Genomic DNA, 21,452 nt, shown 5'->3' on the forward strand with positions numbered 1-21,452 from the left:
TTGCAGGGACAGTGGGGGGCAACTTTCCAGGAGGGACCCAGAGCAGTCCCCTCCATGGCCACATGAGGAATGCCATGTCATTTCTCTCTTAGTGGGCCCCCAAACCACCCAGGCTCTGGAGGGGCTTGGGTGACACTGGCGATGTTGAAGTGCAGCTGGCAAGGAGGGGGTCGCACAGTTGAGTCAGCAGTAGGTGCAGCTTTATTTAATCTCTTTATTCACATGCAAGATGGATGGGAGACATGGATAACAGAAGTGAACATCACTGTCTCAGGAGAGTGGGTCTGGGAGCCTGGACCCGAGAGCTCTGAGGCCTCCGGAGAGCAAGTGGGAGGAGAGGGGGCGCTGGGGGCTGCATGCACACGAGTAGACAGGAGCCAGAGACCAGATGTGCCATGAGCAGGGGGGTTGTGGGAGAGAAGTGAGGCATGGCAGGGCCTGGGCCAGGGCGTCACAGCCAGGCTGGTTTCCCCTGAGAGTGTCAGGGAGAGACATTTTGGGGTTTGGAAGGAGGGGACCCCTAGGACCAAAAGGAAACTGGAAGCTCGCCCTGCTCGGCTTCCTGCCTGGAGCCTCCATGCTGTCCCGAGAACCCGATGCCCACATCTGTTAGCTGCCAATGTCCCACCCTCCAGTCTGGACAGAGTTGGGGGGAGGTCTGTTGCCCGATCCCAGGAGCAGCAGCTCGGCCTGGGATCCTGGGTGCAGCCTCAGACTGTGGGGTGGTGCATTGCATTCCAAGGTGCACACACAGGCTGCTCTGAAGGGTTCAGAGCAGGTCAACACACCTCGGGGCTCTGGGAGAGACGAGGCAGGCTGATAAGGGACGGGACCACAGCTTTGCCATCTACACAACAGTCCTGGGGCCCAAACAATCCAGCTTGCTCCCCTCAACCACTCAGAACAAACGCCCTAAGTGCTGACCCCACTCACCCGGCGCTGTGCTAGGTGCTGGGGGTGGGAAAAATAACAGGCAGAGTACCTGCCTTTGAGAAGTTCAGAATCAAAGGAACTAAAGGCAAAGATCTTCAACTCCCAAGTGAGGCCTCCTCCTGATGGAGCCAGGCACAGGGAACAGGGTTCCTGGGGAGGGAAGGAGGGGTGAAGGGAGGGAGGACAGGCCAAATGAGATGAGTTTGAGGTGGGTCAGGAGCAGCTCAGGATGGTCTTTCTTGTTTGCCTGCTGCACGCGTAGGGACATATGGAGCCCCTGCAGGCCATGGCTCTCAGCTCTGCCAGACCTCCTGGGGGCCGGCTGGTGCAGAGCCATTTTGCAGCAAGGAAGGAGAGGAATGACGTCAAGGAGAAGCCTGGAGGCTCAAATGTGCTTCCAGATGGATGGAATAGCCCAGCCACCTGTATCCAACCATCCATCCCTCCCCGGTAGGGAAGATCTGCCCTGTACCTCCACATCAGGTGCAGGCCCTGCCTCCCGCTTCCTCCCCTTCCAGAAGAGCCCTTATTACTCCCCTGCTGGACCATACAGCTCAGCACCCTGCAAACTCGGACAGACTCCAAACTTCAACCCCAGCCTGACTTACAGAGACCTCACCTGGCTCTCCAACCTCCCACCTCACCTGGCTGTTCTCCCTGGCACTTTGGGCTCATCTCCAAATCTAAACATTGTTCAAAGCCCTTCCACATCCAAGAACCCTCCCCTTTGCCCCCACGGCCCCTCCTTTGAGGTCTGCATTCCCTTCCTCGTCACCCTGGCCCCACTGTCCCCCTGGTTGACCCTTCTGTCACTTAGGGTCTGCACTGCTCCTCCAGGAGAATCTTACTCTGCCCCACTTGGTCACCACACTATTGCGACCTTCTGCAGAGCTTCCCCAGCTCCTCCGTATCCAAAACAGGGCTTTGCACCCAGCAGGCTGTCAGCCCTGGTACAATAACGTTAAGCTGGATGGAAGCCTGCAATCCCTGGGTCAGTGTCCAGACTCCGCGGAGAGGCACCTGCTCATCCCAAAGGGGACACCAGAGGCAGCTGTAGCAGAGACGGTCAAAAGATGGTCAGCGGGGGTGCCCTGGGAGCCAGCTCGAGGGAGGTGCAGTCAGATCATTCCAGCTAGGAACGGAGGCAGAAAGAGGCCGATGGTCCCCAGGAAGCAGACGATGATAAACAGCCAGAGGAAGATCCTGTCGATGACCATGGCAACATACTTCCAGTCCTCCTTCACCTGTGGGGAAGACAGCACACAGTGACAGGGGCCAGGCCTGGGAAAGGGATGTGTTCCCCCCATTCACAGCCCCTGCACAGGCGGCCACTGGGGGCAGCAGCAACTGCCCCACAGAGACCTTGGGGAGCAAAGGTCAGCACAGGGAGCGGGGTGAGTGGAAGGGAGGGACGGGCTGTTTCAAGGCTCCAGTAAGCTCCACTGATGATTCCCCTCCCATCCCAGCCCCTCCACATGCCCAGACCTGTCCATATTATGCTCCTAGACTATAGGTAAAGGAGGCTAGAGGGACGCAAGGAGGCGGCACGACCACCCAGGGGCATGGGCCCTTCTAGGGGGCCTGCAGTGACTTCAATGCAACACCAGACTTTGCTGCTCACAGGTTGCCTCCTCACCCACCTGCTGGAGCTGGGGAGAGGGAAACAGGCGAAGGTGGTTGGGACCCCAGGCAGGCTGGGGGTGGGGCGGGGGCTTTGTAGAACTTGGGCTCACAGCCCAGACAAGGGAGCCTGGATTCTCCACTGCTCCTGGATGACATCATGATTAATTTTCTTGTCTGTTCATCAAGGCCACTCAGTAATAACCTCCCGGCCTTTCATCCTTCCCTAGGCTTAGTAGAATTTTGTGCTAGAGTAGCGGCCTGCTCAATGGCAGACAGGAGCTGGGGCAGGGGTCAGGGTGGGGCCAATGCCATGGCAGGGGCGGGGGAGCGGAGTCCACCTGGCACAACCAAGAATCTGCAGGGTTTATGGTTGAAGAGTGAAGTTTGCAAGATCCTCAGGAGCCCATGAACAAGGAGGCGGAGGAAGAGACCATCCAAGACAAAAGACAAAGGCTGACACTGCAGCAGCTGACTTTCTGGGTCTCTCCTGAAATGCTCCCCCTGCCTGCCGCCACCTCCAAGGCAATGGTGGGAGCTGGCGGCGTGAGGGAGGCACGGGGTTCAGCATCTGGGATCCTCCCTCTCCGGCTCTCAGGATCCCTGTTAGGCTGAGCTGCTCATGCCTGACTCCGTGGTGTGTAACATGCCACGTGCCAATAAACGTCCTCAAAGCGGCCAGCTACATGTGCTCTCTTGCTATTTATTCCATCTAAGGACCATGACTGAGGAAAGTGGGCCTTCACGAGAGGGGCCTGGGCTGCCCAAGCTCACACTCTGCGGTAAGGTGGTTCCCCGCTAAGTTGGTGGGGCCACCCAGGCTGGCGCCTCTCCCAACCCCAACGCACCGAAGAGTCAGCATCCTCAGACCGCAGGTGGTCGGCAATGTAGTGCACACCTTCCAGTGCCTTCTGCATGTGGGGTGATAGCAGCAGCTCACCCTCCTGCAGCAGAGCCTCAGCCTTGGGACCTGAGGCCCCAGAGTGCAGGTGGCCGTGGCTGCAGAGGGTGCCCACAGAGGGGGCCACATGACCTGCACATGCCCATCTGTCCTCCTCCTCCACCACCACCTCCCTCTCCTCGGCATCCACGTTGCTCTCCAGCCAGTGATAAGAGGGGCTGAGCTTCAGGCGTAGGGGGTGGCAGAGCTCCACGGGTGGTGGGGGCCGGTTCATCAGAAGCCACCGGGGCACACAGCCCAGAAGGGCCCCCCGCACCCAGTGGGGCATGGTGTGGGTGCTGGGGGAGCGGTGGTGCACATTGAGCACGAAGACGGTGATGACGATGGACAGGGTGACGAAGATCATGGTGAACAGCAGGTACTCGCCGATGAGCGGGATGACCAGCGAGGTGGACGGGATGATCTCAGTGATGAGCAGCAGGAAGACGGTGAGTGACAGCAGCACCGAAATGCACAGCGTGATCTTCTCGCCGCAGTCGGAGGGCAGGTAGAAGACCAGCACAGTGAGGCAGGAGATGAGCAGGCAGGGGATGATGAGGTTGATGGTGTAGAAGAGCGGCAGCCGCCGGATGACGAAGGCGTAGGTGACGTCGGGGTAGATCTCGGCGCAGCAGTCGTACTTCTTGCTGTTGTAGGTGCCCGTGGCATTGACGATGGCCCACTCGCCGCTCTCCCAGTAGTCCTTCAGGTCCACAGTCTGCTCCATCTGCTCCAGGTCGATCTTGGCCTTGTCATAAGTCCAGGAGCCAAACTTCATCTTGCAGTTCTGCTGGTCGAAGGGGAAGAAGGTGACGTCGATGCTGCAGGAGCTCTTGTAGATGGCCGGGGGCACCCAGTGCACAGTGCCCGTGGAGAAGAGGTGGGCCTTGGTCATGTGGGTCACTGCAAACTCCCCATCTGCACTGAGAAGAGGAGAGGAGCTGGGGAGACCCCTGCACACCCACCTGCCTGAGCCAGGCTACTCAGAGAGCTGGCAGCAGGGGAACCCGAAGAACCAAGTCAGACCCGGCCACACTGGCGGGGTTTATTTATGCAAGTGTGTAAGTCTCCCCCGGCATGCACATTTATAGCCACTGAGCTGTCTTGTCAATTACTACCTTTTTAAATACAAAAGGAGGAATTGTGAGGAATAGAAGGAAGTACCAAGAATTCTAAAAACAACCACTAATAACATTTTGATGATATATATGTATATATATAAAATGTAAAACGATTATATATACATAATCTATCAGTATATGACAATCATATATTTGTGATCATGGGGTATATGTTGCTTGATTGCCTATTTTTATTCATTTAATATTTTATTTTATTTGCAGTAAGGAAAGAGTTGAATAGACACAAGGCCAGCCACGCCACGGGGGAGAAGGAGATAGCATTCAAAGCATCTCTTCCAAAGTTCGTGCGTGTTAGGGGTTTTTCAAAGGCAGTTTTGGGGAAGGGGTGGGTGTGGCCAGGTGCTTGCTGCTGATTGGCTGGGTGGGGATGACATCACAGGGGGTCAAAGCTGTCCTCCTGCGAGCTGATCATTTAATATATTAGAGTGATATCTATGAGTCTGTTTTTCTTCCCTAGCAGATGATGAGTCGGTCCCTTAGGAGGGCGATCCCTTTCCACCTGGGATCATCCTTGCTCAGAAGAGACCTAACACCTTTGCGGGTGAAGATACTACCTTGAATGTATCCATTTAACATGCGTTTTTGAGCCCCTCATCCGCTAGGGCCTGTACCAGAGCTGTGCAGAAGAGGAATATGAGAAAAGTCCCTGCCTTTAAGGAGCCATGAGGAGATGAGACGTCTCCAGGAACCACTGCAACATCAGGCAGGCAGTTGGCAACACTAAGAGGGCAGTCTGGGTGCTCCCCAGACCCTTTGGGGGAAAACTCCCTTCTGGGAGGTGAGCAGGGTCATCGATAAGCCTGCCGTTTGCAAAAGGCCTTGACTGATGGTAGGATTTGGCTGAGAAATGGGCAGAGAGCCTTCCAGTAGAGGGTCACACAGGGACAGAGAGTGTGAATCAGGGGTATCGTGGGACTAGGCATTCAAGGACCCACAAGGAGTCTGGGGACACTGGAATAGTGGTGACCAGTCAGGTAGCACTTCCTGGAAGCCTCAGCCCCTGATTCCACCAGGAGGTGGCTCGGTGGGCTCCTGCTCTAGTCTTTAACCATCCTCCCTCCCCTTCTAATTCCCACAGTCAATCCTAAAATCCAAGAAATCAGAAGAGTACTTGGGAACAGGGGGCTTTTTTCCCCCATGGAGTAGTTCCATGGTAGAGATATGGGCAGGCTGGAAATAGGAACTTTGAAAGGGAGTAACAAATACATTGAGACAAAAGTTAAAAAAAATTTTTTTTTGAGGCGGAATCTCACTCTGTTATCGGGCTGGAGTGCAGGGGTGTGATCTCGGCTCACTACAACCTCTGCCTCCCAGGTTCAAGCAATTCTCCTGCCTCAGCCTCCCAAGTAGCTGGGACTACAGGTGCCACCACCACACCCGGCTAATTTTTGTATTTTTAGTAGAGACAGGGTTTCACCATGTTGGCCAGGATGGTCTCAATCTCTTGACCTCCTGATCCGCCGGCCTCGGCCTCCCAGAGTACTGGGATTACAGGTGTGAGCCACCGCGCCCAGGCAAAAACAAAAAATTTTTAAGCATTTTGTTTATCACAAACAATGACCACTAGATGGCAACATGTGCTCACTTGGGGGAAGGAACCTTGCAAACTCTAAGATGCCTTCCTCTTAACCTTGAGTGGGGTATCTGGGTGGAGGGGATCCATCTCTAAATGTAAGCAAGACTTCGGCTTGGAATTTTGTCCCCCACCAACATTTCTTGTAATAAATCAGGTAACACCGGCTGAAGTCTTATTGGATAATTGTCAAACTCGAAGTCATATTTGATGTAGGACTTTGCTCCTGACCTCTGCCACATGTACAGGAAGTGGAAACTAGAAGGACCCTGGGTGCCAGCTATGGGGCACAGAGATACGACAGGGTGGGGAGTTCATGAGTCCTGCAGCAGCTGCAAACACTAGGCACCTGCTGTGTGAGAGCGGCCAGTGTAAGAACCCAGGATGAACACGTGTTCCCCAAAATGGCTTAGGTGCAAGGGCGTAGTTCTGACCAGAACTGGACGGTGTAAAAAAAAAAATCTGACCCATCTGAAGACACAAAATCCAGAAATGGGTTGTTTTTCCTTTTATTTCTTTCTTTAAAGATAGCATTTCCAAAGTAGGATCAAATGAATTGGGAAATGCTGGGCTAGGTGGGTGTCTTTGCTGCAGAACTTCAAATAACATTTTTTAAAATGCTATTGTGCTCTGCCATTTTCCAAAGGACTTGGGTGGGGATGGGGGTGGGTGTTGTGACATACAATGTTATCCAAAATTACTTGACCACAGAACCCTTTTTCATACCTATTTATAACTCAAAGAAGCCATGCTCCTTACAGCCCCACCTTAGAAAACCTTTTTAGATGAACATAACACCAAATATCTTTTCATTTTAACTTCTTTACTTCTAAGGGAAGAATTGTCTGATACCAAACACAGAAATGAAATTATAGATGTCTATTTATTCCATCAAAATATTTTTTATTGATTTATTTTTGTCCCCTGGGGCTCTCTTTAGACTCCTCTGCCTTCTATTAACTTCTTGTCATTGTGGTCAAAGATTACTCCTTTTTAGTCTTGAAGACAACTACAAAACAACATGATTGGGAAAAAGGAAACTGCATACCAAGTGAGCACATGCCCTTTGAAGGTGCTGGCCCGATGCTGCCTGCCTGTCTGAACAACACTGCCACCCCTCACAACTTCAACCCCAAGGTATTGTTTTTTGAGCCTGCACCAAATTTTTCAAAGAATACTCAGTATGGACAAATCTCTGTCCCTCTAGCACAGTGCCAGGCACTGATACCTAAAAGGTGCTCAGCTGCCATTCATTTTGGTGTAGAGTGAGAACAAAAGGAAAGAAATGAAGGAATAGAGAGAGAGGTAGGGGAGGCATGCTCAGCACAGCAGTCGAGAAGGAGGCGAGGAAGCTGACACCAGGGGGGCCCCTCCCAAGGCCATGGACCCGGCCCCTGCAAGTTGGCCTCCCCTCATCCCCCCAGGACCCCAATGGCTTCCTACTTGTTGTAGAGAACAATGTCGGGGATCCAGATCATCTCAGAAGGGACCCTGAGAGATGTGATGTTGCCAAAATCAGTGGGGTTCCAGCGCAGTTTGTAGTCGCTCCACTCCTGTGTGTGGGGAAGGAGTTGTGTCAACCTCGCTTCCAGGGAGCAGCCTAGGGCAAAGCTAGCACACCCCGGGGATGCCCAGAATTGGGCCAAGCAGCCCCCTTGGAGCAGCCAGGGCTCCCCACCCAGCCCAGAATAGTGGAGGGAGCTGCGGTGCTGGGAACGGGCTCTGAGCAAGTAACCAACCTTCTCGCTTTGCCTGGACTTTAGTAGTCAAGGTCCCGGGCACATGAAGTTCACCCTTGTCCTGCCTCTAGTCCTCGCTCTGCCAATCCCTGGCTGGACGACCTTGGTGGGCCACCTCACTCATCTCTAGTGAAATCTCTCATTTTTAGGGCATCACAGTTTATGGTTTGTTTTATGCTCTCCATCTAGGAAAAGCCTCCACGGGAGAGCCAAGCGGGGAATGCAGAGCAGGTGAAAGTATCTCCCCATTTAGCAGATGAGCAAACTGAGGACCCAGAGACAGGAAAATCAACCAGCCAGAGGCATACAGTGAGGCAGGGGTGTTACCCGGGGACCTTCAAACTGCACTCTCAAGTGCCCCACAGGAGTCCCACCAGAGACGGGATGTCTGGCCCCCACCCCTGCCTCCACCGACGCAGGTCCAAATCAGTCCCCCTGCCTCCATCAGGTTCGTATTATCTCCGTAGTCCATCTGTCAAGTTTTCAGGTCCAACCAACATTTTGAGGCACCCACACCAAATTGTGGTACATTAATCCTCCCAGGCATGTGGCAGTAGGTTGTGTTATCCTCATTTTGCAAATGAGGAAACTGAGGCTCTGAGAGGTTACGTAGCTCATCCAGTATCACAAGCTAATCAGAGGCATTGCTGACTGGCCTCAAACTCCAGTACTCCTTCCTTGCCCTGCCACCCCAACCCTGAAGCCCAGGTGACCAGCCCATGGGGACAACTGTGGCAGCCCAGGTTCTAGGCCTGCCTCCCTGCACACATACACCGCATGACTGGGTAGCTTCCAAGTTCCTGCTTCCCTCTGGCCCTCAGCTGTCACATCTGTAAAGATGAGATGAGTGACCCCCTGATAGCTCCTGGGTTACAGCATCAGAGGGAGGGAAGCCTCCGACCTAAGCGGGATCTGTGCGCCCTTTCCTGAGTCTAACTGGGCTCTATGACTGTCTGGACCAGTAGTATACAACAAGATCAATGCTGGCCCAGTTTCTTTTACTCCCTGTCTCTTGGGACTCTCACTCTGGAATCCCTGAACCACCAGGCAGGATGTCTGACTCCCCTGCTGGAGAGACTCTGAGGATGCCTGAAGGGGGCGAAGGGCCCATCTGAGTCCAGCCTTCCAGAACCTTCCAGCACCTTCCAGAGCCTTCCAGACATCCCTGCTAAGGGACAGATGTGTGAATTAAGCTGTCTCAGACCCTCCAGACCAGATGAACCCTCACTCAAATATCACAAAGTAACCCTAGTGGTCACCATGTGAAGCAGAAGAAACCACCCAAACTCCTGGCCATAAAGCCATGAGATACAGTGAGCTGGGAGCTGCTGTGAGCCTCTAAGTTTGGGGTTATTTGGGTGGCAGTATAGGTATTAAGCACTCAGCGTTCTCCCATAGAAGGAGCCTGGGACTCGGAGTCAGGCACAGCTGGGCCCCCTTTTCCAGCCCAGCTTCTCTCTGCTTCGTGATCTCCTGAGCTGTAAAATGGGCAGAATGAACCCCCCGTGGGGCTTTGGGGAGGATTCCGAAGTAGCAGGGATGAACAGATGCCTGTTCCCAGGAAAGCACCACTTGGCTTTCTAGTGCCTGAGGCTATGTTCTCAGGCACTAGACTCCAGTCTAGCCACAAAGAGCACAGGCCCTGTGGAAAAAGTCAGCTTTGGGAACATCCCACATGGCATCTGCTTGGTAAACTAAGTTCAGGGTCTTGCTGTTCCTTGGTCTTTCACTAGCGAAGAAGTCCTGGAGGGGTCTGGGGTCCATGGATTCCCGGTACCCGCCACCTGGACTGGAGGAGGGGGGCCCTCACCTGTTTTAGCCAGACGTTGGTGGTCATCATTTGGTTCTTCTCATCCTGGCCCAGAGAGAGACAGAGGAGCAATTAAAGGGGTGGGCCCAGCCCCAGAAGACAGGGTGGAGTGGGATGGGCTGTTTTCAGACCCTCTGATAGGACACCCCAAGCCCAGCCCGCCCGCCACCCACTCTGAAACCTGCCACCCTTACTCAGATTCTCCAGGGTCACACAGGCACTGCTGCCAATCAATGCCCTCCTAGGAGGGAGCTCCAGAGCTGGGAGAGGGGAGAGCGTAGCCGCCCTGGGAAGAGCCATCCCCAACCCCACCCCAAGTCACTGCTGTGCGTGAGGGCAGGGCTGGGGTAGAGGAAGGAGCAGGGGGAAAGCGGTGGGTGGTCTGGGATCTCCTTCCTCGGGCCAGCGGTGGGAAGACAGGCGCACCACATCGATGAGCTGAGCGATGGACAGTCCAAAGCGCACAATCACCACGTCTGAAGTGTTGGGCACCGGGCGCGCCCAGCGGTTGTAGCCCCGGAAGAGGTGTTTGAAGAGCCGGTCCTCAGTCTCGGTATGCGAGCCTCCCTGCGGCAATGCCGTGGGACTGGGAGAGGAGAGTGGGTCTCCAGGAGCCCTGGGAGGTGGGCGCTTAGCTTCCTCTCCACCTGCCATCAAATCAGAGCCACTCAGCCTCACTGAGCCTCAGTTTGCTCATCTGTAAAATGGAGATGCTTATCCAGAACCTATCTCAAAACATTGTTGAAGATGGCAGATGATAATGTCTATCAGAGCTGAGCACAGCATGAGCAGGCTGCGGGGTCGGAGCTCAGGAAAGGTCAGCTGTTTTGTGATGTTAGAGAAGAAAAGAGTGAGAACTAGTGCTGCAGGTGGCGAGGGGCAGGGGCAGAGGCAGGGAAGAGGGGAAACGAATCTAGAGACAAGATTCAGCCCCATATGGAGGAGTGCCAGGTGGACAGGGAAGTGGAAGAGACGCCTGGTCTACGTGGCGGGGCTGCAGGGAGAAGGGCTCTGGCATTGCAGTAAGCCTGGCCAGGGTAAGCAGTCTCCCGTTCCCACCCACTTGTCCGATGAACCATTAATGCTAACAGGGAAATGGACCGCTTTGGGAACCTCCCCAATTTTTTCTTAAACCATGGGCATTTGCCACTTCCTATCAGATAAACAAAACTTTTCAAAATGTTTCTATGGCATCGCTCATGTCAGTTTTCACTGTGTTCAGCAAACAGCTTCACCCCTTCAGGGCTCTGCTGTCCGAGCGAGTCGAGAACTACAGCTCCAAATCCCAGAAAAACGTGTCAGCACCATCTGGGACAGAAAGCGCTGTGTCCCGAGTGCCTCCTGTATCCCAGATTCTGGTCACAAACTTGCGTTTAATCCTCACAATAGGCCTGGGAGGTACACAACACTATTTGCGTTTTGCAGCTGAGGACATTGAAGCTTGGGGACATTTAAGGTGACACAGATGCTAACGTCAGAGCTGTGACTGCCCCTCCACCTCTGCCAGTGGAAACAGCCACCTGGCTGATGGCCTCTGAAGTCCCCTGCAGCTTTGACGGTTGCAACACATCCACCTGCAGACTCCTTCCTACAATTTGTGAGCCCACAGGCATGAGATGAAGTCTTACAATGACAGGTGACAAACACTCACCTGCTGGGGTCAGAAGGAGCCACCACAGGCTGAGCTTTGTGAAGGACAGGAACACAGGACAGGAGGGGCCCATGGCTTCTCCTGAGCATCAGGAGGTCAGGTCAGGGCTTTGCTGTGGGTTGCACCATGGACCATGTCCCCAGCAGAGCTGCTGCTGGATTCTGTGAGGATTCTGCTGGATTCTGCGAGGCTTCCTCTCACCACCGAACCTGAGCAAGCCCAAGAAAGGGCTCTTAGGGTCATGCATCCTTGACATAGGCATATTTCTGTTTCTCATGCTCCACACAGGCATGAAATGAGAGCAAAAGGCCCTCAGCAGGCCTCTCAGCAGTTAAGTGCTCCTGGGCTCTCCCTGGCTTATTGAGGAATCAGCCTCTTCCTCTTTCTCCAGAGTCAGCCAGCGACTCTGCCCTAAGACCAGCCCTGACCTACTGGGCAAAGGAGGGCACAGGATGGGACTGAGGTCCCCATTGCTTTGCCTCAGTGGTCATCTATAAAATGGGGATAATCATACTGCAAAGAGTGGTCAATAAAAGGATCAGGGTACTATTCACAAGATCCAAAGAGTGGAAACAGCCTTTTGTCCAAACAAATGTCCATCAGCTGATGAATGGATGGACAAAAGGCAGTAAATCCTTACAACGGAACATGATGCCACCATAAAAAGGACTGAGGTGCTGACGCTTGCTACAGCATGGAGGAACCTAGAAAGCATTGTGCAAAGTACCAGAAGCCAGTGGCAAAAAGCCACATACTGAAGGTGATATTGTAAAAAATATATTTGGTCTTCAATCCTATCTCCTGGAATACAACTCCTAAGATACTGGGAATCTCCAAAATGATATCTTTTTGCATGACTGGTGGCTGGCAGCCCCTAGGCAGCTGCAGGATGGGGCTGGTCACAGGAAGACAAAGGCAGGCTTTAAAGGGTTGGGGCTTTCAGCCCCACCCCTCAAACCTCCAGGGACAGGAGAGGAGATAAAGGTTAAGTTGATCGCCAATGGCCACTGGATTAATCAATCGTGCTGCATAATGAGGCCTCCATAAAACCCCGAAAGGACAGGTTTTGAAGAGCTTCTAAATAGCAGAACATTGGAGGTTCCTGAGGGGTGATGAGCCCAGCGAGGGCATGGAAGCTCCGTGCCCCTTCCCAAACCTTGCCGTATGCATCTCATCACCTGTATCTTACACTATCTCTTATAAGCTAGTAAACCAGTGTTTCCCTGAATTCTGTGAGCCACTCTAGCAAGTTAGTTGAACCCAGGGAGGGGGTCATGGGAACCCCAATTTATAGCCAGTGGGTTAGAAGCACAGGTAAAACAACCTAGGACTTGTGATCGGCATTGACATTGGGGGGCAGTGTTGGGGACTGAGCCCTCGACGTGTGGGATCTGAGCTGTCTCCAGATGGATGGTGTCTGAATTGAATTAGAAGGCACCCAGCTGATCTCTGCTGCAGAATTGACAGCTTGCTTGCGGGTGAGGAGAAATCCCCACATCTTTGGGGGGTCACAGAAGTCTTCCGTGTTGATTGTTGTGGGGTGAGAGCAGAGAAAAACAGTTTGTGGTTTTTCCTACACATTGTATGATCCTACTGATATGGAATATGCAGAATAGGCAAATCTATAGAAACAGAACGTAGATTAGTGGTTGCAGGGGCAGCGGGAAGGAGGGATGGGAAGTGACTGCTTAATGATCACTGAGTTTCCCTTAGAGGGGATAAGAGATCTCTGGAACTAGACGGTGTGATGTTACACAGATGTGTGAATATACTAAAATTCACCGAATTGCACACTTTAAATGGGGGAATTTTATGATATTTGAATTTATCTCAAAAAAAGTTATTATTAAAAAATAAACAAACACCTCATGGATTAAGAAGCAGCAGCTACCCCTCTTGACTGTGGTGACAGTGATATTTGCCAAACATGGAGAATCAATACACAAAGGGTTCTAGTGACCAGAAGGACACAGATGTCAAAGATGGGGTAAATATAATGTTTCATATGAAATGAATGTTTCATAATTGAGAAAATTGGGAAAAGCAGTATTTTAAAATATTATTTTATAGAGTATTTGATTTAAAAAATATATATATATATCACTAAAATAACATTATTGCCTTAAAAGCTTACACATTCAAATTAGCATTTTTTGAAACAGCCCCCCTTATGGAGAGAAGAGCATGGCCTCATGTTCCGGGACACATCGTGTATGTGGCCTAGGGAGATAACAAAGGCTCTCGGTACAGCTAGTGGGTGCAGGATTTCCTTTGGAAGGGTGAGAATGTTCTGGAACTAGATAGTGGTGACGGCTGCACACTGTTCGAATTGTACTAAATGCCAATAACGATCAATTTTATGTTATGTGTATTTAGCCACAACTTTTCAAGAAAGAATAAGGGTAAAAGTGGCTTTAAAAATATAAACCAAGGGCTGGGTACAGTAGCTCATGCCTGTAATTCCAGCTCTTTTGGAGGCCAAGATGGAAGGAGTGTTTGAGCTCAGCAGTTCAAAACCAGCCTGGGCAACATAGTGAGACCCCCCCCGCCGTCTCTACAAAAAATTCAAAAATTAGCTGGGCATAGTGGTGCGTGCCTGTGATCTCAGCTACTGGGAAGGCCAAGAAGGGAGGGTCGTGTGAGCCTGGGGAAGTCAAGGCTGCAATGGGCTATGATCTTGCCACTGCACTCCAGCCTGGACAACAAGCAAGATCCCATCTCAAAAAGAAAATAAAAATAAAAGTAAACCACCGGGTATGAGAGAATCAGAATTATTATTCATGAAGTTGTGAAACCACTTCTATCTAGTCATTCTCATCCCCCCCGTCCACTCTGACACAGACTCTCAACAGTGTTTCCAGCATCACTAATCCTCCATCTCTCCCAGGGTCGGTTGCACCGGCCCATCCTAACCTCCTGGCAGGAGATGAGAGCAGGGCTGGCACTGGCAAATGTCGCTTTGAGTCCTGGCCCCACCACTGGCTGGTGATGATCTGTGAAAGGTCACTCAATCCCCCTGGGATTTTGTCTTAAGATAAAGATTGGACACTTTCTGCCCTGTGGGAGGAGTGACGGGAGCAAACGGGATCACTTGTGCCCATGAAAGTCCCCGGGGAACTGCAGAGGGCTGGTCAGGGAACAGGTTGCTCTTATGGTTGTCAGGGCCCATGACCCACAGTGGCATTGCACAATGACAGTTTGGGTCAAGTAGGAGAAGAGGAATGTGGGAAGGATTTGATGTGAATTTCAATGTGTTGGAATTGCTGGCATATACTGACTACAGCACAGACACCAGAGTGTTTTAGGGGAAAAGGGCCTGCCTGCATCAATTTCCCCAGAAGGTTTCAATTCAAAGACTTGTTGAAAATAGAGGATTACATTTTTCTTCTGTTCCCTTGGGAGAATATTGCCCCTGTCCATGAGCTGCCCTTATCCTCCATGCCACCCTACACCCCATCCTGCCCTGGGATTCCTCCCTTTGTCCCAGCTCTTAGAGGTTCCCGGTTCCTTCCTGGCTCTGAAAATCCCCAGCTGGCAGGTGCAAAAGGTTGGCGGTTCCCAGTATATGTATGGAATGAACTGCCCGAGAGAGCATCCCAAAGCTCTCCCAGAATGGTGCCTCCAGGGGGAGAAGCAGGGAGTCCTGGCAGTGGGAAGCTTCTCCACAGATAGGCCTGGTACACACAGCCCCACTGGAGCTGCTCTGTTCACACAGCAAACCCTGCAGCATAACTGTCAAGAGCTCTCGTTCAGGAGTGCAGCTTTATATAATGTGTAAACTCACATCGCCCTGCAAATTATGCAGAATGTTTGTACAGCACCCACCCCAGCCTGGGCATCAGCAGCTTCTGTGGCTCAGGTGAACCGCAGTGGCAAGGTCTGGGATCTCTGGCCCTCGAAGGTGCAGGGACTTGTCCCCAGGGGACTTCCCCAAAGCAGACCATTGCAAAGGAAACAGCACAGCTAACTGATTTCCAGAGACAGCTTTACCATCTTGCTCTTTTCTCTTTTAATCTCTTTTCTGCATACAAATAGATCACCTGTGTTATCTCTGGGCGCAGGAATTAGAGGTGATTATTATTCTTTTTGACAGTTTTCTGCATTTTCCAAATTTCCCACTATCAACATGTATCGGTCACTTAATATAAAAATAATTTTCAAGCAGGCAGCAATACCTGTGATGTGTTTTACAAGCCCTCCCCTCATCTCACAGCAGCAGGAGCTCACCCAAACTGTGTAGATTTGACTCCACTCTTCCATCAGAATGCAGTGCAGTTCATCAATCAGCTGTGTAAAAAGTGGAAGCAACTCCGGTATCCAGCGACAGATGAATGGTTGAACAAATGTGGTCTATCCATACAGTGGAATATTATTTGTCCTTAAAAAGGACAGAAATTCTGACCCATGCTACAACGTGGATGAAACTTGAGGGCATTATGCTATGTAAAATAAGCCAGTTACAAAAAGACAAAGACATTATGATTCCTTTTATAGGATGTTCCTAGAATAGTCAAATTCATAGAGACAGAAAGTAGAATGGTGGGTGCCAGGAGCTAGGGGGAGGGGAGTGAGGAGTTATTGTTCAATGGGTACGGAGTTTCATTTGGGATGATGAAAAAAATCTACAGATGGACAGTGGTGATGTCTACACAACAATGTGAATGTTCTTAACACGATGAACTATATACAGTTAATAATGGTTACATTATTATGGTAAATTATGTTATGTATATTTTACCACAAAAATAGTCTTTTTAAAGGTCAGCTGTGTTCATCTGGAATCACCTTAGGGCTGAGGCCTAGGAAATGGGATCGCTACATTGATCTGAAAGGTCAAATGGGACTTTCAGAGAAAAGTGGAACTTCCTGTCGTGAGGTCACTCCTTAAGGGTGACCACTGTATCTTATTCACCTCTTCCCTCCAGCCCCAAGCACAGCCCCAGCTTACTTTGTGGGTTCCAGGTGTTCAGAGCTACCTGCAAAAGGTACCCAGGGCAGGAGGAGGGCTCCAAGAGCCTGAGGAAGGAGACTAAGGCTTCTCACTTAATTTGGGGAGCAGCACTGCATCAAACATTTGCATTCATAGTGTGATTGTTTATCCTTTTCTTTGTTTATCTTTCCACTACCTCATTCATTTTGTTGTTGTTGTTGTTTCATGCTTGGACTGTAAGAGAATGTACTACCTCATTCTTCATCAGGGCCAACAGTGTGCCAGGCACTAGGAACAGGGAACTGAGTGAGCTTGAGTAGAGAAGAACCAAAAGGAAGGAAAATGCTAGAGTCTCATCCACTCGTCCACCCCTAATGTGGGGCATGACTTTATTCATTTAGCCCCATTGCTTCCAAAGCCATCCAGGGAGGCCCCAAGTTCCCTGAGGCATCCTTTCCAGGCTTTTTACAACTCTCCACATTGGGAAGCTTTTCCTCGAGTCTGAATCTGCATAAGCATCTGAGAGATGCTTGAGTTGTGTTGAGTTGAGTTTAGAGACCCTAGTGTTGTTATCCGAGATTAAATCTCGTTAATACCCAGGGGAAACTGCAGAGCAGGTGAAGTTTTTTTCTCTGCTCTCCGCAATCATTCAAACACCTGACAATCACAAAGCTGCCTTTCTGGTTCCTTGTCTCTTGTCTCTTTCATCCTTTCTACCTGGAGGATTTAGGATCCTCAAAGATCCCACACCCTTCCCCATTTACCTGTGGCTCAGTGCCATCTAGAAGTTTCATTTGCTAGTTAAAATAAAAAAGAGTTGTGAAATTCCATTGCTTATGTCTACTTTCATACAGGCGTGAAGTTTTTACTAGATATTAGAACACAGGGCTGATTTGGGGCAGGGAACGAGGATTTCAGAATCCCCCTTGATGTTAATTCCTAAAACGTCTTCCTAAGAACACTGTGCATTTATGTTGTTTTCAGGTTTACAAGGTACTTTTGCAGCTTTCACCTATTTGGGCCTCACGTGACCCCTAGGAGGGTGTGGGGAAGAGATATAATTATCCCTTTCATGTAAGTAAAAAAAAAAAAAAACTGATGTTCAGAGAAGTTGACCAAAGCCATATAGATAAAAAGTGATAAAGCTGAGATTCAAGCTAAGATCTTTAGCTTCGAAACTAGAATGCGATAAATTATAACGTGGTGTTAACTAGGGGGGCGATTTCGTATTAGCAATTCAGCCAGTACTCACCTGTGTTCCGTAGACCCTAGCACTGTGTCTGTCATTGCTAAGCCACCATCAGGACTGAGGTCTGTTGAGGACAAGTGAGGAGAGGGGACAGGCACCTCACCCCAAAGCTAGGCCCACCTGGATCCCAGATTCTAGCAGGTTCCTCTAGTGCAGATTCACTTTCTCATCCAGCCAACCAATATCATAGTTGCAAATTCCAAAGCTATCATCTGTTTCACCTTTTAACCAAGTGCATTTTTTAAAAAGGAGATTTTTTTTTCTCCATTAGTGAGAATAGGAATCCAAGCATGCTAACATTGCATCATTTAGAGATCCAAGGAGAGCCACCCGGGAACCCCCAGAAGAATGTGCAAATAAGATGCAGTGACTCTAGAGGATGTATTCCCAGCAAGATGCCTCAAACCTGCATCCCCTGTGATAAGCCCACTATATCATTTCATTTAATTTGTCACTGGAAACCAAAGGAGGAATTGTTCCAGGTGATTGACAGTAATTAGAGGGAACTTCCACCTCTGGTTAGGAAGATGTCAAAAAAAAAAGAGCTGCACACTTTGACCCTCTAAGTGGCTGGATTGGCAGATTTGGGGAAGGGGAGAGAGTGGGATGAGGTCCCTAATTGTAAAGTGGGTCTGGGTGAATGGGGTACACAGAGAAGCCTATGTAAAAGAGATTGCATACGTAAAGTGCTCGGACATCAGTGTCCCCACTGGGCTTGTGTCGCTGCTCACGTACACCAGTTCCAGGCCACCCCCACCCCACCCCCACACTCACTGCAGCATCTCTAGCCTGCCTGAATCCTGGTTCCGTGGAGGTCAAGGTGATTTGAGCTCACTTCCCTGTCCATGGTTCTACTAATTCTGTTTTCAACTTCTCACCCACCAGTCCACATTCTCCTCTTTTTACTAACATTTCCTTCTCCCAAAAGGCTGCTTCCATCCCACCTGGTTCCTTTCTGCTGTCCAGAACCTCCCCAAGCATACAGGTCTCAGCTTTTTCACAACTGGCAACATTACACTCCCAAAGAAGCCCCTCCATTAGAGAAACCAGTATGATTTCTTCTTCCAAATAAATGCACTCAAGGTGCTTAGGGGCTAGAGAGTGTAATTCTAGCTTTTATATCTGTTTTGCTCAATCACAGAAGTTTAACACTCAAGGTTGGGTGGGATCTTGAAGGTCATCTGAACAACCACACCAGCTGATGGAGGAATCCACTTCACAAATGCCAGCCTTGGAACAAGCCCAGCTGTAAAGAACTTGAAGAACCTTGGAAGGTATTTACCTTCTAAGTCAGTAAATAGCATTGCTGTCTTTTAGCCCTTTTAAAGGACATAGACAATTTACAGAATGAGTAAATAAATGAACAAAAGAATGGACAGCAGTAGTAAAGACATAGGAGCAGATACAGTGTAACAAAGCCACTATTCCTGAGACTGGGCTAGCCATCCTAGCCAGGAGGTGTTCATCGTCACCTGGCTGTGGACAGCTCCAGCAGGGACAACCAGGAGACTAAAATATTTCTAGGAGCAGGTGACATCCAGCATTCAGACATAACCCCCTCCTGAGTACCCAGAAACTGCTAGTATTTCTTTGACCCCATATCCACAAGCTCTCCACATGCATGCCGCCCTCAACATAAGCCTTGGGTACCTTTCTTACCTGTGGTTACAGAAGAAAACAGGTCATTGAAAGGATGCAGAGAACCAGCCTGGCTTGGAGATTCTGGGCAGCTGACAAAAGTCACCCCAGAAATAGAGTGGCAGGTACAGAATAGAGCTCAGTCACTTCATTTCATGGTCAAACAGAGGCTGAAGAGTGAGGGTTTAGGAGACACCCCGTCGAGCAGAAGACTTACATGAGAGGCATTTGGCTTCCCGGGGACAGCTGGGCAAGCTCTGCAGAGAGGTGGGTTTTCCTGGGGCTGTCCAGCTCTGGCAGCCAGAACGGCTTCATGCAGGTGCCACTGAGGACAGCCCAGGCAGCCCAGCACAAGCGATTCTGCAGGTGAAACCCAAGCCTGGCCCCAGGAGGGGATGAGGGCTCAGCACACAAGCACACAGGCTCACGCTGTTCTCTCTCTCTCTCACACACACACACACATACACACACACACACACACACACAGCCTCTCTGGAGGGGAAGGAGGAGGAGCCTGTGACTCTCCAGCCTATGTCCGGTGGGGACAGATGCAGCTCTGTCCAGTCACCACGATGCTCCCTTCCCTGCTCTCTGGACCCCTGGGCTCCAGGATCACTGCCTGGGGCCCCTGAGTGCACCCACAGGTTCTGGGTCCTGGGTCCTGGGTCTGTCTGTCAATACAGCTTCACTGTATGTGAATCCACTTCACAAATTCCAGCCTTGGAACAAGCCCAGCTGTAAAGAACTTGAAGAACCTTGGAATGTATTTACCTTCTAAGTCAGTAAATAGCATCGGAAAAATTGGAGTAAGGACAGAGCTGCCAGCCAGCCCACGGTTCTCTCCTTGCCCTCCTCCCCTGTGAGACCCCTCCCCCCACCACCCTAGAGGACCACCGGTCACTTGCGCGGCCACCCGGTGTGGCTGCTTCTCTGTCACCCCGTCAGCCTCCTTGCAGGTGACCTTGCCTTTGATTTTCCGGTGAAGCCTCCTTTTCTCTAGTATCAGATGAGTACTCCTGTCTCCTCCTGTGCATGGCGAATCCTGGCCCACTGTGATCTTGACATCACCCCATCTATTAACAGCCTGGGCTTTCTCAGATCCTCCCTCTCTGCCCCACTCGTTCCTTCCCTTCAGCCCCTAAAGAAGCTCATCCTCCACCCTAAAAACACTCTGCTTTCGGCCTTTCCCTCAAGCTACTTGCTAGCTCATCTCCCTTATTTTGTTAAAAGCAAAGGCCCTGGACATGACCCGGCCACAGACTGCTGAGGCTGAATTTCTAGCTCTGCTCTTGAACAGCTGCATAATCCTGGACAGGCCTCTTCAGCTTCCTATGCCTCAGTTTCCTCAGATGTAAAAAGAGGATGTGAACAATGGCTCCTGCCTCATAGGTTTACTATGAGGAGTCAATTAGCACAAATAAACACAAACACACACGTGCATTGTGTGTACACATGTGCATGCGATTGCTAGAATCATCTTTTGAGAGAATTAAAAGACATAAAATACCAAAAAACCATAAACACTCATATTTCCACTATTCATAATTAATAAATGTTAATATTTTACCATATTTACATATATATAAAGTTAGATGTATACATTTTTCATTTGGAGACTGAAGGAAGGAAGGAAGGGAAGGAGGGAAGAAATAAGAAAAAAGAAAAGAAAGGAAAGGAAAGGAAAGAAAAGAAAAGAAAATCACAGCTTGTATCCATCAGGATTCTTGGTTGCAAGCAATAAAAACCTACCAATTACTTTAAGTGGAGAATGGTTTTATTGAGGAACAACGGGTGGTTCACAGAAGCACCTAGAAATCTGGAGGGGCTGCTTGGAGAGCAGGGAGAAGAGGGAAGCCTCTGCCCCGCGGCCAGCATGGTGGGTCCTGCTGCTACAGAGCTGCATGTGAACCTGGCACCGTCATGGGTGCCGCTGTCACCGCTGTCCCTGGAAGCAGCCATCCCTGCTGCTGCCACCGCTGCCACAGTTAATTCTCCTCCAGCCCTGCTCCTTTGTGTCACTAGCTCTGCATACAAAGGTCGAAACAGATGCATCTGATTAAAGCATGTGCTCCCAAACCAGATGCCAGGAAGGCCAAGGAAGCAGGAATCTGGGGTTTTGAGCTTCTATGTGGAAGGTGGGCTCTGCCCACTTCAAGAGGGGGGACATTCCTGAAATATTTGAAAGTTGTTTCAATGCTGGAAAGCACCCCCCTCCCCGCCACACGAA

At 50.6% G+C, this 21,452-nt stretch overlaps 1 protein-coding gene across 9 annotated transcripts, besides 1 other annotated feature; it reads right to left on the reverse strand.

Moving 5' to 3' along the window:
- CHRNA2 (cholinergic receptor nicotinic alpha 2 subunit) lies at positions 179 to 19,684 on the reverse strand. 9 transcript variants are annotated; one of them, NM_001347707.2, is made up of 8 exons: positions 19,247 to 19,684; positions 15,636 to 15,695; positions 11,409 to 11,617; positions 10,229 to 10,404; positions 9,758 to 9,802; positions 7,652 to 7,761; positions 3,402 to 4,280; positions 179 to 2,177 (listed from the first exon to the last, which is right to left on the reverse strand). In NM_001347707.2, exons 7-8 carry the CDS (start codon positions 4,269 to 4,271, stop codon positions 2,052 to 2,054), a joined length of 996 nt encoding a protein of 331 aa, NP_001334636.1. In that variant the 5' UTR covers positions 4,272 to 4,280; positions 7,652 to 7,761; positions 9,758 to 9,802; positions 10,229 to 10,404; positions 11,409 to 11,617; positions 15,636 to 15,695; positions 19,247 to 19,684; the 3' UTR covers positions 179 to 2,051. The 9 variants fall into 9 exon arrangements, with proteins under 9 accessions (NP_001334636.1, XP_047277267.1, XP_047277268.1 ...); XM_047421311.1 differs by having other exon boundaries at positions 3,402 to 4,416; positions 10,184 to 10,404; XM_047421312.1 differs by having other exon boundaries at positions 3,402 to 4,416; positions 10,184 to 10,404; positions 15,636 to 15,786.
- Positions 2,816 to 3,744: an enhancer, noted in NCBI's record as "H3K4me1 hESC enhancer chr8:27319910-27320838 (GRCh37/hg19 assembly coordinates)". NCBI's record gives its function as "activates a minimal SCP1, AML or CMV promoter by ChIP-STARR-seq in naive H9 embryonic stem cells {active_cell/tissue: H9 hESC(naive)}" and the evidence as "EXISTENCE:reporter gene assay evidence [ECO:0000049][PMID:30033119]".

This window comes from Homo sapiens, chromosome 8 (assembly GCF_000001405.40).
Source record: "Homo sapiens chromosome 8, GRCh38.p14 Primary Assembly".
In the NCBI taxonomy this organism is placed as follows: domain Eukaryota; kingdom Metazoa; phylum Chordata; class Mammalia; order Primates; family Hominidae; genus Homo; species Homo sapiens.